The sequence below is a fragment of the Homo sapiens genome, chromosome 15 (genome assembly GCF_000001405.40).
Source record: "Homo sapiens chromosome 15, GRCh38.p14 Primary Assembly".
NCBI lineage: Eukaryota > Metazoa > Chordata > Mammalia > Primates > Hominidae > Homo > Homo sapiens.
In genome coordinates this window covers 41,387,353-41,403,604 of record NC_000015.10, presented here as the reverse complement: position 1 = coordinate 41,403,604, position 16,252 = coordinate 41,387,353, and the positions used below count along the sequence as shown (strand labels likewise).

Sequence of the window (16,252 nt, the reverse complement as noted above, 5' to 3'; positions counted from 1 at the left end):
AAAAAACAAAAACAAACAATGTTTAAGTGCTTTGGCCGGGCATGGTGGCTCACGCCTGTAATACCAGCACTTTGGGAGGCCGAGGTGGGTGGATCATGAGGTCAGGATTTCGAGACCAGCCTGGCCAACATGGCGAAACCCCATCTCTACTAAAAATACAAAAATTATCCGGGTGTGGTGGCACACACCTGTAATCCCAGCTACTTGGGAGGCTGAGGCAGGAGAATTGCTCCAACCCAGGAGTCGGAGGTTGCAGATCGCGCCACTGCACTACAGCCTGGGCAACAGAGTGAGACTCCGTCTCAAAAAAAAAAAGTGCTTTAAGAGAGGTGTGCACAAGGTACAAACAGATGCCCTGAGCAACTGGCGACCGTGTGGGGCGAGACTCGGGAAGGGCTGGTAGGAGGGGCTGCTGTCCAGGTGCGTGGTGGTCCTCAAGAATTCATGGGGGCAATTCCAGCAGAATCGGCCTTTTGAGGCCTCAGGCAGTTCTTGTGGGGACCGAGGCGACAGATAAGGAAGGAAGGGATACAGGCGCGTTAGCAATAACTGGGTTCTATTTGAAAGACGCAGGGGGCCGGGCTTGGTGGCTCGCGCCTGTAATCTCAGCACTTTGGGAGGCCGAGGCGGGTGGATCACGAGGTCAGGAGATCGAGATCATCCCGGCTAACATGGTGAAACCCCGTCTCTACTAAAAATACAAAAATTAGTCGGGCATGATGGCGCGCACCTGTAATCCCAGCTACTCGGGAGGCTGAGGCAGGAGAATCGCTTGAATCTGGGAGGCAGAGGTTGTAGTGAGCCGAGATCGCGCCACTGCACTCCAGCCTGGGCGACAGAGCGAGAATCCGTCTCAAAAAAAAAAAAAAAAAAAAAGACGCAGGGATGGAGTTTGCCGCCTGAAAGGATACAGGAAGGAGAGGCGAAAAACTTATCTGAATTCTCACTGCTTCCTTACAACTGGCGACCAAGTGGACCAAAAACCTCCAAAAACCTCAGTTGGCTGGGCTACGGGGTCCTTGCTGTCCTTCCTGGGCTTCTGTACTCGGCCGGAACTTTGGTGTTCTGACGCCTTGTTTGGCATCGGAAGGGAAAAGCAGATGGACCTATACGGGTAAAGTGGCTTCTGGGCGGAAGGTACACTATAGGCTCGGGGAGGTAAGCGGCGGCAGGCCGGCGGTTGGTGTGTCCCGGGTGTGGGGAGGCGACAGAGCCCTGGCACTTGAGGGTTGAGGGGGCCTCCCCAGCGCGGCGAACCGTCTAGCCTCCGGAGGCCAGGCCGTGAGTGCGGGAGGTATACGCCAAGGCGGAAGAATTTTGCCACTCACTACCTGTGTGACCTCGGGTAAATTAGCCTTGGAACGTCAGTTTCTTCGTCTCTATAATTGAAATAATAATAGTACCTCTCTCAGGATTGTTGTGAGCCGTCAGTGAAACACTTAGAGCAGTTTCTGGCACATGGTAAGGCATGGATAGCTTTACTAATTCTACTCACTTCTAGCTGCGTGGATTGTGTTGTCAAAACCCACCGTCAACCTCAGGGCGGTATTGTCCAGTTAATAGTTTAGATTTTCTGTTTACTGGTAGAAAAAAAAAAATGAAACAAAGCATTTATAATTAAAGTTATATTATTAGAGAAGTAACACTACGGAGGGTTTGGAAAACATTTTATGAGCTATCATTTGTTTCTCAAATTTCGGTATGTGTAGAGGTAAAATCATTTAAGTGCAACCGGCGCGGGGGAATTTAAATATTATCCATAATTCCGGGACCTCAGATCAACTGTTAATTTTTCCTGGTTCCCTTAACGTTTATAATACATGTGAAAACATACTGTTTACATGGTTTTGATTTATCAACAAACCTTATTGATAATGTCGGCTGGGCGCGGTGGCTCACGCCTGTAATCCCAGCACTTTGGGAGGCCGAGGCGGGCGGATCACTTGAGGTCAGGAGTTCGAGACCAGCCTGGCCAACATGGTGAAACCCTGTCTCTACTAAAAATACAAAAATTAGCTGGGCGTGGTGGCGCACGCCTGTAATCCCAGTGACTGAGGCAAGAGAATTGCTTGAAACCAGGAGGTGGAGGTTACAATGAGCCGAGATCGCACAACTGCACTCCAACTTGGGGGACAGAGCTGGACTCTGTCTTAAAAAAAAAAAAAAAAAAGTTGGGCATGGTGGCGGGCACCTGTAATTTCAGCCACTCGGGAGGCAGAGGCAGGAGAAGCACTTGAACCCGGGAGGCGGAGGTTGCAGTGAGCCAGGGTCGTGCCATTGCACTCCAGCCTGGGTGACAGAGCGAGACTCCATCTCAAAAAAAAAAAAAAAAAAAAAGGTTGGGCGCCGTGGCTGACGCCTGTAATCCCAGTACTTTAGGAGGCCCATGTAGGCGGATCACCTGAGGTCAGGAGTTCGAGACCACTCTGGCCAACATAGTGGAACCTCATCTCTACTGAAAAAACAAAAACAAAAACAAAAATTAGCCGGGCATGGTGGCGCCCGCCTGTAATCCCAGCTATTCAGGAGGCTGAGACAAGAGAATCGCTTGAACCCAGGAGGCGGAGATTGCAGTGAGCGGAGATCTCTAGCCTGGTGACAGAGCAAGACTCCGTCTCAAAAAAAAAAAAAAGTATTGATAATGTCATTTTACCTATTGGTGTCTGTATCCTACAGAAAGGAAATACGTATCTGACTTGTTTCATAGGATTTGTGTGTGGATGGCATGAGATAATATATATCAGGGTGATATGAAAGTGTTAGGAGTAGGCTGGGCATGGTGGCTCACACCTGTAATCACAGTACTTTGGGAGAACAAGGCAGGTGGATCACGTGGTCAGGAGATCGAGACCATCCTGGCTAACACGGTGAAACCCTGTCTCTATTAAAAATCCAAAAAAAAAAAAAAAAAAAAAATAGCTGGGCATGGTGGCGGGCGCCTGTAGTCCCAGCTACTCGCGAGGCTGAGGCAGGAGAATGGCGTGAACCCGGGAGGCGGAGCTTGCAGTGAGCCGAGATCGTGCCACTGCACTCCAGCCTGGGTGACAGAGTGAGACTCTGTCTCAAAAAAGAAAAAAAAAAGTATTAGGAGTGGTATTCATCAGGTGCAGTGGCTCACGCCTGTAATCCCAGGTACTCCAGAGGCTGAGGCAGGAGGATCACTTGAACCCAGGAGTTAGAGACTCGTCTGAGCAACATAACAAGACCTCATCTCTATTTTTTTTTTTTTTTTTTTGAGATGGAATTTTGCTCTTGTTGCCCAGGCTGGAGTGCAATGGCGTGATCTTGGCTCACCACAACCTCCACCTCCTGTTCAAGCTATTCTCCTGCCTTAGCCTCCCAAGTAGCTGGGACTACAGTTGTGCGCCACCACACCGGGCTAATTTTGTATTTTTAGTAGAGATGGGGTTTCTTCATGTTGGTCAGGCTGGCCTCAAACTCCTGACCTTGTCATCCACCCACCTTGGCCTCCCAAAGTGCTGGGATTACAGGCGTGAGCCACTGCGCCTGGCCTTACAATTTTTTATTTTTATTTATTTATTTTTTAGACAGAGTCCTGCTCTGTTGCCCAAGCTGGAGTGCAGTGGCTTGATCTTGGCTCACTGCAGCGTCCCACTCCTGGGTTCAAGCGATTTTCCTGCTTCAGCCTCCCGAGTAGCTGGGATTATAGGTGCTTGCCACCACCCTATAGGTGCCCGTCACCACACCCAGCTAATTTTTGTATTTTTTTTTTTTTTTTTTTTTTTTTTGAGAAGGAGTCTCGCTCTGTCGCCCAGGCTGGAGTGCAGTGGCGGGATCTCGGCTCACTGCAAGCTCCGCCTCCCGGGTTCACGCCATTCTCCTGCCTCAGCCTCCCGAGTAGCTGGGACTACAGGCGCCCGCCACTACGCCCGGCTAATTTTTTGTATTTTTTTAGTAGAGACGGGGTTTCACCGTTTTAGCCGGGATGGTCTCGATCTCCTGACCTCGTGATCCGCCCGCCTCCGCCTCCCAAAGTGCTGGGATTACAGGCGTGAGCCACCGCGCCCGGCCTGTATTTTTTTTTTTGAGACAGAGTTTCACTTTTGTTGCCCAGGCTGGAGTGCGATGGTGCAGTCTTGGCTCATTGCAGCCTCTGCCTCCCAGGTTCAAGCGATTCTCCTGCCTCAGCCTCCCGAGTAGCTGGGATTACAGGTGCCCACCACCATGCCCAGCTAATTTTTTTTTTTTTTTAGTTGGAGTCACTCTGTCGCCCAGGCTGGAGTGCAATGGCACGATCTCGGCTCACTGCAACGTCTGCCTCCTGGGTTCAAGCGATTCTTATGCCTAGGCCTCCCAAGTAGCTGGGATTACAGGCATGGGCCACCACACCTGGCTAATTGTTTGTATTTTCTGTAGGGGTTTCACCATGTTGGTTAGGCTGGTCTTGAACTCCTGTCCTAGGTGATCCGCCTGCCCTGGCCTCCCGAAGTGTTGGGATTACAGGCATGAGCCACCGTGCCAGGCCAATTTTTGTATTTTTAATGGAGACGGGGTTTTACCATGTTGGGCAGGCTGGTCTCCAACTCCTGACGACAAGTCATTTGCCTGCCTAAGACTCCCAGAGTGCTGGGATTACAGGTGTGAGCCACTGTGGCGGGCTACAATTTTTGGTTTTTTTATTTTTTTTGAGATGGAATTTCACTTTTGTCACCCAGGCTGGAGTGCAGTGGTGCAATCTCGGCTCACTTGCAACCTCCGCCTCCTGGGTTCAAGTGATTCTCCTGCCTCAGCCTCCCCAGTAGCTGGGATTACAGGCGCTCTCCAACATGACCAACTAATTTCTGTATTTTTAGTAGAGATGGGGTTTTACCATTTTGGCCAGGCTGGTCTTGAACTCCTGACCTCAAGTGATCCGTCCACCTTGGACTCCCAAAGTGCTGGGATTACAGGTGTGATGCACGGCACCCGGCCAACATTTTTTAAAAAAATTAGCTGGGCATGGTGGTGTGCACCTGTAGTCTCAGCTACCTTGGAGGCTGAGGTGGGAGAATCATTTCAGTCCAGGGCCCAGGAGTTCAAGGCTACAATGAGTTATCGATCTTGCCACGGCGCTGCAGCCTGGGTGACAGAGCAAGAGACCCTGTCTCTTTTTTTTTTTTTTTCACATGGAATTTTGCTCTTGTCCAGGCTGGAGTGCAGTGGCGTGATCTCGGCTCACTGCAATCCCTGCCTCCTGGGTTCAAGTGATTCTCCTGCTTAAGGCTCCCTAGTAGCTGGGATTACAGGCGTCTGCCACCACGCCTGGATTATTTTTAGTAGAGATGGGGTTTCACCATGTTGTCAAGGCTGGTCTCGAACTCCTTACCTCAGGTGATCCATCCGCCTCGGCCTCCCAAAGTGTTGAGATTACAGGCGTGAGCTACCACACCTGGCCTGACCCAGTCTCTTATAAAAAGAAAAGAAAAAAAAAAGGCCGGGGACAGTGCATCATTCCTACAGCCCAGCACTTTGGGAAGCCGAGGGGAGAATCACTGGATCCTAGGAGTTCAAAACCATCATGGGCAACACAGGGAGATCTATTTCTTTTTCTTTCTTTCTGTTTTTTTTTTTTTTTTTTTTTGAGACAGAGTCTCGCTCTGTTGCCAGGCTGGAGTGCAGTGGCACGATCTTGGCTCACTGCAGCCTCCTCCTCCCAGGTTCAAGGAATTCTTTTGCCTCAGCCTCCTTAGTAGCTGGGACCACAAGTGCGCACCACCACACCCAGCTAAGTTTTGTATTTTTAGTAGAGACGGGGTTTCACCATGTTGGCCAGGATGGTCTCAATTTTTTTTTTTTTTTTTTTCCCGAGACAGAGTCTCGCTCTGTCGCCCAGGCTGGAGTGTAGTGGCGGGATCTCCGCTCACTGCAAGCTCTGCCTCCTGGGTTGACGCTATTCTCCTGCTTCAGCCTCCCCAGTAGCTGGGACTACAGGCGCCCGCCACCACACCCGGCTAATTTTTTGTATTTTTAGTAGAGACGGGGTTTCACCGTGTTAGCCAGGATGGTCTCGATTTCCTGACCTCGTGATCCACCCGCCTCGGCCTCCCCAAGTGCTGGGATTACAGGCGTCAGCCACCGCGCCCGGCCCAGTCTCTATCTCTTGACCTCGTGATCCACCCACCTCAGCCTCCCAAAGTGCTGGGACCGTGCCTGGCCAGGGAGATCCATTTCTACAAAAAATTTAAAAATTAGCTGGGCATGGTGGTGTGTGCTTGTAATCCCAGCTACTTGGGTGGCTGAGATGGGAGGATCATTTGAGCCCAGAAAGTAGAGGCTACAGTGAGCTGTGATTGTGCCACTGTACCCAGCCTGGGCCACAGAGCAAGACCTTGTCTCAAATAATAATAATAATAATAGTAAACAAATAAGTTAACAAACTTCAAAATACCTGATTTCTGTTGAATTTGAAATTGTGATGCATTCATTGCTATGCTGATAATTCTTCAATGTCTCTTCTGTTATAGGTAGAATTGGGCTATTTGCTGAAGCTTCTTGGTGGCCCTTGCTAGCCCAGGAAGAAACTTACATTTTGATTTTTTTGTACCATGGCTTTGGTTCACAAATTGCTGCGTGGTACTTATTTTCTCAGAAAATTCTCTAAGCCAACTTCTGCCTTGTATCCATTTTTGGGTATTCGCTTTGCAGAGTATTCCAGTAGTCTTCAGAAACCAGTGGCTTCTCCTGGCAAAGCCTCCTCACAGAGGAAGACTGAAGGGGATTTGCAAGGAGATCACCAGAAAGAAGTTGCTTTGGATATAACTTCTTCTGAGGAGAAGCCTGATGTTAGTTTCGATAAAGCAATTAGAGATGAAGCAATATACCATTTTAGGCTTTTGAAGGATGAAATTGTGGATCATTGGAGAGGACCGGAAGGCCACCCTCTGCATGAGGTCTTGCTGGAACAAGCCAAGGTTGTCTGGCAATTCCGGGGGAAAGAAGATTTGGATAAGTGGACAGTGACTTCTGATAAGACGATTGGAGGCAGAAGTGAAGTGTTTTTGAAAATGGGCAAGAATAACCAAAGTGCACTGCTATATGGAACTCTGAGCTCTGAGGCGCCTCAGGACGGGGAGTCTACCCGAAGTGGGTACTGTGCAATGATATCCAGGATTCCAAGGGTAGGTGAGGCCCAGGAGCCATCGTTTTCTAGTAAACAGGGGTGAACTTCATTGTAGCATAAACTATAGAAGATAGCTTTTGTTTCTGTAAATGAAAACACCTGGCATGTTATATTTGGCACCTCACCTGTGTCTGGGGATAAGTAACTATTGGCACAAGTGTGAAGTGGAAGCACAAGGGGGAAGTGGTTTCTGAGGAGGAGGAGTTAACTTGTTTCTGCGCATTGCTTTGGGCCAGGAACGAGCATTGTTATGTTTCAGGAATCCTGAGAGGTTAGACATTTGAAAGATTTTTGGAGAGATTTTCATCTCCTCTAAAAAAGACCACAACCTCTGTAATGACCAGGGGTTTTGTAGAGTGGATGTAGGGTTAGCCTGTGGCTTTCTTTTTTTTTTTTTGAAACGGAGTCTTGCTCTGTCGCCCAGGCTAGAGTGCAGTGGCGTGATCTCGGCTCACTGCAACTTCCGCCCTCCAGGTTCAAGCGATTCTCCTGCCTCAGCCTCCTGAGTAGCTGGGACTACTGGTGCACACCACCACGCCCAGCTAATTTTTGTATTTTTAGTAGAGACAGGGTTTCACCATGTTGGCCAGGCTGGTCTTGAACTCCTGACCTCAGGTGATCCACCCCACCCTTGGCCTCCCAGAGTGCTGGACATGGTGGTGCATGCCTGTAATTCCAGGTACTTGGGAGGCTGAGGCAGGAGAATTGCTTGAACTCTGGAGGCAGAGGTTGCAGTGAGCTGAGATCGTGCCATTGCACTCCAGTCTGGGCAACAAGAGCGAAACTTTGTCTCAAAAAAAAAAAAAAAAAAAAAAGGCCGGGCGCAGTGGCTCATGCCTGTAATCCCCACACTTTGGGTGGCCAAGGTGGGCGGATCACCAGGTCAGGAGATCGAGACCATCCTGGCTAACACGGTGAAACCCCGTCTCTACTAAAAATACAAAAAAATTAGCCGGGTGTGGTTTTGGGCGCCTATAGTACCAGCTATTCGGGAGGCTGAGGCAGGAGAATGGTGTGAACCCAGGAGGCAGAGCTTGCAGTGAGCTGAGATTGCACCACTGCACTCCAGCCTGGGTGACAGAGCAAGACTCCGTCTCAAAAAAAAAAAAAGAAAAGAAAAGAAAAGAAAAGAAAAAGTCATTGCTCCATACGACCAGGTAAAGGAAATACATTCATTTCCATTCATTGAACACAGGTGAGTGCCTACCCCATGTAAACACTGTCCTGGGCCAGTTGTGTGTTGAACATTACCTTAGAAACATATAACTATGTCAGTATTTTGTGCTAAAATAATAATCACTGGGTTTATGTGCCTTCTTATGGGGCAGAAAGTCAGAAAAATGGTTAGTGCATCCTGTTGATGATGCTGACTTGGTGATGACTCACATTTTGCTAATAATGGAGAATGAGGTACAATGAACTTTACTTTCAATATCTTAGGGTGCTTTTGAGAGGAAGATGTCTTACGATTGGTCCCAGTTCAATACTCTGTATCTCCGTGTACGTGGGGATGGTCGGCCTTGGATGGTGAATATCAAGGAGGACACAGATTTCTTCCAGAGGACGAATCAGATGTATAGTTACTTCATGTTCACCCGCGGGGGACCCTACTGGCAGGAGGTCAAGGTAACAGCATAAATCTTCATTGTTTATAAAAATGAGGTCTTGGCTGGGTGAGGTGGCTCACGCCTATAATCCCAGCAATTTGGGAGGCCGAGGTGGGTGGATCACCTGAGGTCAGGAGTTCGAGACCAGGTTGGCCAACATGGTGAAACCTAGTCTCTGATCGTGCCATTGTACTCCAGCCTGGGCAACAGAGTGAGATGAGACTCTGTCTCAAAAAAAAAAAAAAAAAAAAAAAAAAGTCTTGGAGATGATTGTTACATTGTAGTTTCTTTTTTGTTACTAATCTTTCTTGGAAGGTGGGGGTGGGTGGGTAGAAGAAAGGTTAAGAGACATAAATGAATTTTGTTTCATTAATATAAATGTTAACATACTAACTAGTGAATATTTTTGATATGGATGTGGCCAGGTCCATGCTAAGTCACAGGCACATCTCTGCTCTGTGTCCAAATAGATGGGGTTTGTTTGTTTTTTAGAAGTTTCTGCCATTTCATGTCTTCCAGGCAACTCTGCTAAAGTTGGTGTCCTAGGCCTGCGTGGTGGCTCACACCTGTAATCCCAGCACTTTGGGAGGCCAAGGCGGACGGATCACTTGAGGTTGGGAGTTCGACACCAGCCTGACCAACATGGAGAAACCCTGTTGTCTCTACTAAAAAAAATACAAAATTAGCTGGGCGTGGTGGCGCATGCCTGTAATCCCAGCTACTCGGGAGGCTAAGGCAGGATAATTGCTTGAACCCAGGAGGCGGAGGTTTCGGTGAGCCGAGATCGTGTCATTGCACTCCAGCCTGGGCAACAAGAGCCAAACTTTGTCTCAAAAAAAAAAAAAAAAAAAAAAAAAAGTAGTGTCCTAGGCCAGGCGTGGTGGCTCATGTCTGTAATCCCAGCACTTTGGGAGGCCAAGGTGGGTAAATCACCTGAGATCAGGAGTTTGAGACCAGCCTGGCTAACATGGCAAAACCCCATCTCTACTAAAAATACAAGAATTAGAGGCCAGGCGCGGTGGCTCATGCCTGTAATCCCAGCACTTTGGGAGGCCGAGGTGGGCAGATCACGAGGTCAAGAGATCGAGACCATCCTGGCCAACATGGTGAAACTCTGTCTCTACTAAAAATAAAAAAATTAGTTGGGTGTGGTGGCGTCGTCCCAGCTACTCAGAAGGCTGAGGCAGGAGAATCGCTTGAACCTGGGAGGCAGAGGTGGCAGTGAGCCGAGATGGGCCACTGCTCTCCAGCCTGGCGACAGAGTGAGACTCCATCTCAAAAAAAAAAAGGCCGGCCGCGGTGGCTTACGCCTGTAATCCCAGCACTTTGGGAGGCTGAGGCGGGTGGATCACGAGGTCAGGAGATGATGGAGACCATTCTGGCTAACACAGTGAAACCCCGTCTCTACTAAAAAAATACAAAAAAAATTAGCCGGGCTTGGTGGCAGGTGCCTGTAGTCCCAGCTACTCAGGAGGCTGAGGCAGGAGAATGGCGTGAACCCGGGAGGCAGAGCTTGCAGATCGTGCCACTGCACTCCAGGCTGGGCGGGAGACTTCGTCTCAAAAAAAAAAAAAAAAAAAAAAAAATTAGCCGGGCATGGTGGTGTGTGCCTGTAATCCCAGCTACTAGGGGGGCTGAGGCAGGAGGATTGCTTGAACTTGGGAGGTGGAGGTTGCAGTAAGCTGAGACCGTGCCACTGCACTCCAGCCTGGGCAACAGAGCAAGACTCCGTCTCAAAAAAAAAAAAAAAAAAAAACTCAACAAGAAAGTCCCCATTTTGCTCATGTCATATACTTGAGGGTCATCCTGAATTCTTCTCCTTTGCCCCACATCCAGTCTATTAGCGAGTCCTGTCACCTCTGCTTCCAAAATACACTCAGCAGCTGACCATTTCTAGCCATCTCTTCTACTCCCACCCTGGTCCAGGTGTTTGGATTATTGCAGCAGCTTCATTATTGATTTCCCTGTTTGTCTTCTTGCCCCACTAAAATCCTGGCTCCACAGCAGCCAGAGTTATCTTTCTGAAGCATAGTTCAGATGACATCATTTACATGCTTGTAAGCATGTAAATGTACCTCCTAAGCATGTAAGCTGTATTAGTCTGTTCTCGTGCTGCTGCTATGAAGAAATACCTGAGACTAGGTAATTAATAAAGGAAAGAGGTTTAATTGACTCACAGTTCTGCAGGGCTGGGGAGGCCTTAGGTAACTTATAAAATCATGGCAGAAGGGGAAGTAAACACATCCTCCTTCACATGGTGGCAGGAAAGAGAATGAGAGCCGAATGAAGGGGTAATCTCCTTATAAAACCATCAGATCTTGTGAGAACTCACTGTCACTAGAACAGTATGGGGGAAACCACACCCATGGTTCAGTTAACTTCACCTGGTCCCTCCCTTGACACATGGGGATTACTACAATTCAAGATGAGATTTTGGGTGGGGAGACAGCCAAACCATATCAGGACCCTTCAGTGGTTTCCCATTACAATTCGAATAAAGTCCAGGCTGGGCTAGGTGGCTCATGCTTTTAATCCCAGCACTTTGGGAGGCTGAGATGGGCAGATCACTTGAGGTCAGGAGTTTGAGACCAGCCTGGTCTACATGGTGAAATCTTGTGTCTACTAAAAATACAAAAAATTAGCAGCAGGTGGTGGCACACGCCTGTAGTCCCAGCTCCTCAGGAGGCTGAGGCAGGAGAATCGCTTGAACCTGAGAAGTGGAAGTTGCAGTGAGCCAAGATCGCGCCACTGTACTCCACCCTGGGTGACAGAGTAAGACTCCATCTCAAGAAAAAAAAAAAAAAAAAAAAAGAATAAAGTCCAAACTCCTGCACATGGCCTATGGGCCTACAATATCGGACCCCTGTCTTCATCTTCCATCTCTCCTCCTGTCTTCATCTTCCATCTCTCCTCCTACCTCCTTCCTCCACACCAGCCCCTTTTCTGTCAGATTTAACAACCTCATTTCCATCTCAGAGCTTTGCACTTAGTGTTGCTCTGCTGTAATGCTCTGCCCCCATGTCTTCACCTGCTTTCTCTTTCCTGTCATTCACCTCTCGGCTCAAAAGTTGCCTCAGAGAGGCCTTTCCTGATTCCTGTAACTAAAGTTGGACCCTCTAATCCAGTTATTTCAACACCACCATCCTATAACTTTCTTCATAGAACTTATCACTAACTAAAATTACTTTGTTCATTCATTCATCTGTTTATTGTCACTCTACTGCCTTCCCTGGAACATAAATTATATAAATTCTTTTTTTTTTTTTTTTTAAGATGGAGTCTCACTCTTACTGCCCAGGCTGGAGTGCAGTGGTGTGATTCCAGCTTACGGCAACCTTTGCCTTCCAGGTTCAAGAGATCCTCCTGCTGGGACTACAGGCGTGTACCACAACGCCCGGCTAATTTTTGTATTTTTAGGAGAGATGGGGTTTCATTCACCAAGTTGGCCAGGCTGGTTTCGAACTCCTGACATCAAGTGATCCACCCGACTCGCCTCCCAAGGTATTGGGATTATAGGCGTTTGAGCCACCACACCTGGCCCTAAATTCTGTAAATTCTGTGAGAGCAGAGATCTTGCTTATATTGTTCCTACCAGTTTCCCCTGTACCTAGAATTTTGTCCTAGTGCCTAGCACAAAATAAGCACTCAATACATACATATATATGTAGTAATACAGATATATAACACAAATTATATATACTTGTATTTAAGTAATATATATATAATGAATTATTATACAAAATAACTACTTCATTATAAAAACAATTTGGGAAGTACAGAAAAAAATCTTGTACTACCACTATCCAGTGATAAAATACTATTTTTATTTTATTTTATTTTTATTTTTGTAAGACAGAGTCTCGCACTGTCGCCCAGGCTGGACTGCAGTGGCGGGATCTCGGCTCACTGCAAGCTCTGCCTTCCAGGTTCACACCATTCTGCCTCAGCCTCCCGAGTAGCTGGGACTGCAGGTGCCCACCACCACGCCCAGCTAATTTTTTGTATTTTTAGTAGAGACAGGGTTTCACCGTGTTAGCCAGGATGGTCTTGAACTCCTGGCCTCATGATCCGCCCACCTCGGCCTCCCAAAGTGCTGGGATTACAGGCATGAGCCACCATACCCAGCAGATAAAATACTATTTTTTTTTTTTTTGAGACAGAGTCTGGCTCTGTTGCCCATGCTGGAGTGCAGTGGCACGATCTCTGCTCACTGCAAGCTCCGCCTCCCGGGTTCACGCCATTCTCCTGCCTCAGCCTCCTGAGTAGCTGGGACTACAGGCACCTGCCACTACACCTGGCTAATTTTTTGTATTTTTAGTAGAGACGGGGTTTCGCCGTGTTAGCCAGAATGGTCTTGATCTCCTGACCTCGTGATCCGCCTGCCTTGGCCTCCCAAAGTGCTGGGATTACAGGCGTGAGCCACCGCGCCTGGCACAAAAATACTATTTTTAATATGTATCTTCTACACTTTTCTAGTCACACTTTTCCCTTCCAGTGGTGTTTTATAACATATATACAGTATTTTCACTGAACTATTGTTTACAACTTTCTCTTCAAATATATTTCTACATCATTTTTAATGTCTGCATGATATTATATAAGTAGACAACAATTTTGGCTGGGTCCAGTGGCTCACATCTGTAATCCTAGCACTTTGGGAGGCTAAGGCAGTGAATCATTTGAAGCTAGGAGTCTAAGACAAGCCTGAGCAACATGGCAAAACCCTGTCTCTACAAAAATACAAAAATTAGCCCAGTGTGGTGGCATGTGCCTTTAGTCCCACCTACTCAGGAGGCTGAGGTGGGAGGATTGCTTGAGCCTGGGAGGTCAAGGCTGCAGTGAGCTGAGATCACCCTACTGCATGCACTTCAGCCTGGGTGACAGAGTAAGACCCTGTCTCAAAAAAAAAAATTTTTTTTTCTTAACTTGTTCTTCATTATGTACATGTAGATTTAGATTGTTTTCAGAGTTTTCTACTGTCGGAACAAACTCTGAGGTAAACATCCTTAACTATTTTCATAGGCTATATTCCTAGAGATAAAATTACTGGAATAACTATTAATATGTATAATTCATTTTTATTTATGTTCATTAAAATTTATTTACTTATTTGAGACAGGGTCTCTCTTCTGTTGTCCATGCTGGAGTGCAGCATGGGCTCGCTGTAGCCCCAACCTCCCAGCCTCAGGTGATCCTCCCACCTTAGCCTCCTGAATAGCCAGGACTACAAGGATGCACCACCATGGCTGGATAAGTTTTTTGTTTTTTTACTAGAGTCTTGGTTTCACCGTGTTTCCCAGGCTGGTCTTGAACTCCTGGGCTCAGTTGATCCTATTGTGTTGGCCTCCCAAAGTGCTGGGATTACAGGCATGCACAACCAGGCCCAGCCATTTTCTTCCTTTGTTAAACTCAAAATATAAATAAAATTAGCATACTCTGTACCTGTTTTTTGTGTTTTTAAAATTTAGGAATATATCCTGGAGAGCTTCTGTATAATTATTTAGGCAGGGTGTGGTGGTTCATACCTGTAGGCCAAGGTTGGCAGATTACTTGAGCTCAGGAGTTTAAGACCAGCCTGGCTAACATGGTGAAACACCGTCTCTACCAAAAAAAAAAAAAAAAAAAAAATTAGCCGGGTGTGGTGGTGTGCGCCTATAGTCCCAGCTACTCAGGAAGCTGAGGTGGGAGAATCGCTTGAACCTGGGAGGTGGAAGTTGCAGTGAGCCAAGATGGCACCACTGCACTCCAGCCTGGGTAACAGAGTGAGACCCTATCTCAAAACAAAACACAAACAATTAAAGCCAGATATAGTTTTAAAAGATCGTGCTTAATAATAAGTAAATTACATAGAGAAGAAATATGAAAATAAAGTTGATGAATAAAAAGGCACACTTGAAAGTTCAAGAGTAGAAGGAATAGGACATTTCTTTTAGTTCAGTTTCTAATGTAGGAAGGAAGGGAAACGTTAAAATTCTTTTTTCTTTTTTTTCTGAGATAGAATCTAGCTCTATCGCCCAGGCTGAAGTGCAGTGGTGTGATCTTGGCTTACTGCAACCTCTACCTCCCGGGTTCAGGCAACAAAGTGAGACCCCATTCTCCACAGAAAGAAAAAAAAAAAAAAGCTGTGTTTAGGATACTAGTCTTTTTTCCATAAATGTTACAAATATTTTTTTCATAGTTAACCCTTTATCGTTTGGCCTGAGTTATATCTTTGATCCAAATGGCTAGCCATTTGTCATAATACATATATGACATAATTTTAGAATAAATGTAAACTCATTTTATCGTTACAATTACATGCAGATGCCTCAATTGCTTACATTTCAGTTATGAAGTAAATGGTTTCTTCTTTCAGATTCCTTTTTCCAAATTTTTCTTCTCTAATCGAGGAAGAATCCGGGATGTTCAGCATGAGCTTCCGCTTGATAAGGTAACATATTCCTGTATTTTTCACTCAGAACTGTATCATTTTTAATGAATCGGAACTCTGGGGAGACTGAGTTCATTTGAGAAGGCTGGCAGATGAATATTTCTTCTCAGGGCCACTGCTCTTATACCCAGCCAGAGGCTGACTTAGACCTCTCCTATGAACCATACCCCCATCCTGAAGGAATTTTAGAAGGATCATTTTTTAGCATGCCTACATTTTACTTTAGCTATTTTCCCCCCTCCCTTCTCTCCTAATTTAGCTTTAAAATAAGAGTTTATGAACGCTTCAAGGAACTCCATTAGGCATTCATGTCGTCCTTACTAGTCTTTTTGTTTTTTGACATGGAGTCTTGCTTTGTCACTCAGGCTGGAGTGCAGTGGCATGATCTCGGCTCACTGCAACCTCTACCTCCCGGGTTCAAGCATTTCTCCTGCCTCAGTCTCCTGAGTAGCTGGAATTACAGGTGCCTGCCACCACACTTGGCTAATCTTTGTATTCTTAGTAGAGACGAGGTTTTACCATATTGGGCAGGCTGGTTTTTAACTGGACCTTGTGATCTGCCCACCTTGGCCTCCCAGTGTTGGGATTACAGGCCTGAGCCACGACGCCCGGCCGTCCTTCCTAGTCTTAAGTGGCACTACCTAATGAGGAGAGGGGAGGAAGTTGAATGAGGAAAGAAAAGCAGTCTTGTATTTCCTCTTACAGTATGCTATGGGAGAATTAGTAGTATTTGCTAAGGGCTGATAGCATTAAAACCCAGTTATAATCATCACCTGATGGGATTTTAAACTCCTGGAATAATCTCAGTACGTCACTGTATGAGATTTTAATCAATTTCTGTATTTTAAATTTAGATCTCTTCTATAGGATTCACCTTGGCTGATAAAGTGGATGGTCCATTCTTCCTGGAGATAGATTTTATTGGCGTGTTTACTGATCCAGCTCATACAGAAGAATTTGCCTATGAAAATTCTCCAGAGCTTAACCCAAGGCTTTTTAAATAAAGATCATATGGTAGTTTTGTTTTACTAATCTAAGGGTACTAGCATCTACAATGATATAGACAAAATAAAATATTTCTTTAATGGCATCCAA

At 46.6% G+C, this 16,252-nt stretch overlaps 1 protein-coding gene across 11 annotated transcripts; it reads left to right on the top strand.

Moving 5' to 3' along the window:
• Positions 579 to 16,252, top strand: NDUFAF1 (NADH:ubiquinone oxidoreductase complex assembly factor 1). 11 transcript variants are annotated; one of them, NR_199359.1, is made up of 6 exons: positions 1,109 to 1,158; positions 6,465 to 7,118; positions 8,561 to 8,746; positions 9,247 to 9,340; positions 15,083 to 15,157; positions 16,012 to 16,252. NR_199359.1 is itself a non-coding variant. In XM_047432637.1 (5 exons), the coding sequence occupies exons 2-5, from the start codon at positions 6,546 to 6,548 to the stop codon at positions 16,159 to 16,161; spliced, it is 984 nt and encodes a 327-aa protein (XP_047288593.1). In that variant the 5' UTR covers positions 579 to 1,114; positions 6,465 to 6,545; the 3' UTR covers positions 16,162 to 16,252. The 11 variants fall into 11 exon arrangements, 7 of the variants coding, with proteins under 7 accessions (XP_047288593.1, NP_001424418.1, NP_001424415.1 ...); NR_199360.1 differs by having other exon boundaries at positions 1,109 to 1,461; NR_045620.2 differs by having other exon boundaries at positions 1,109 to 1,461; positions 9,247 to 9,500.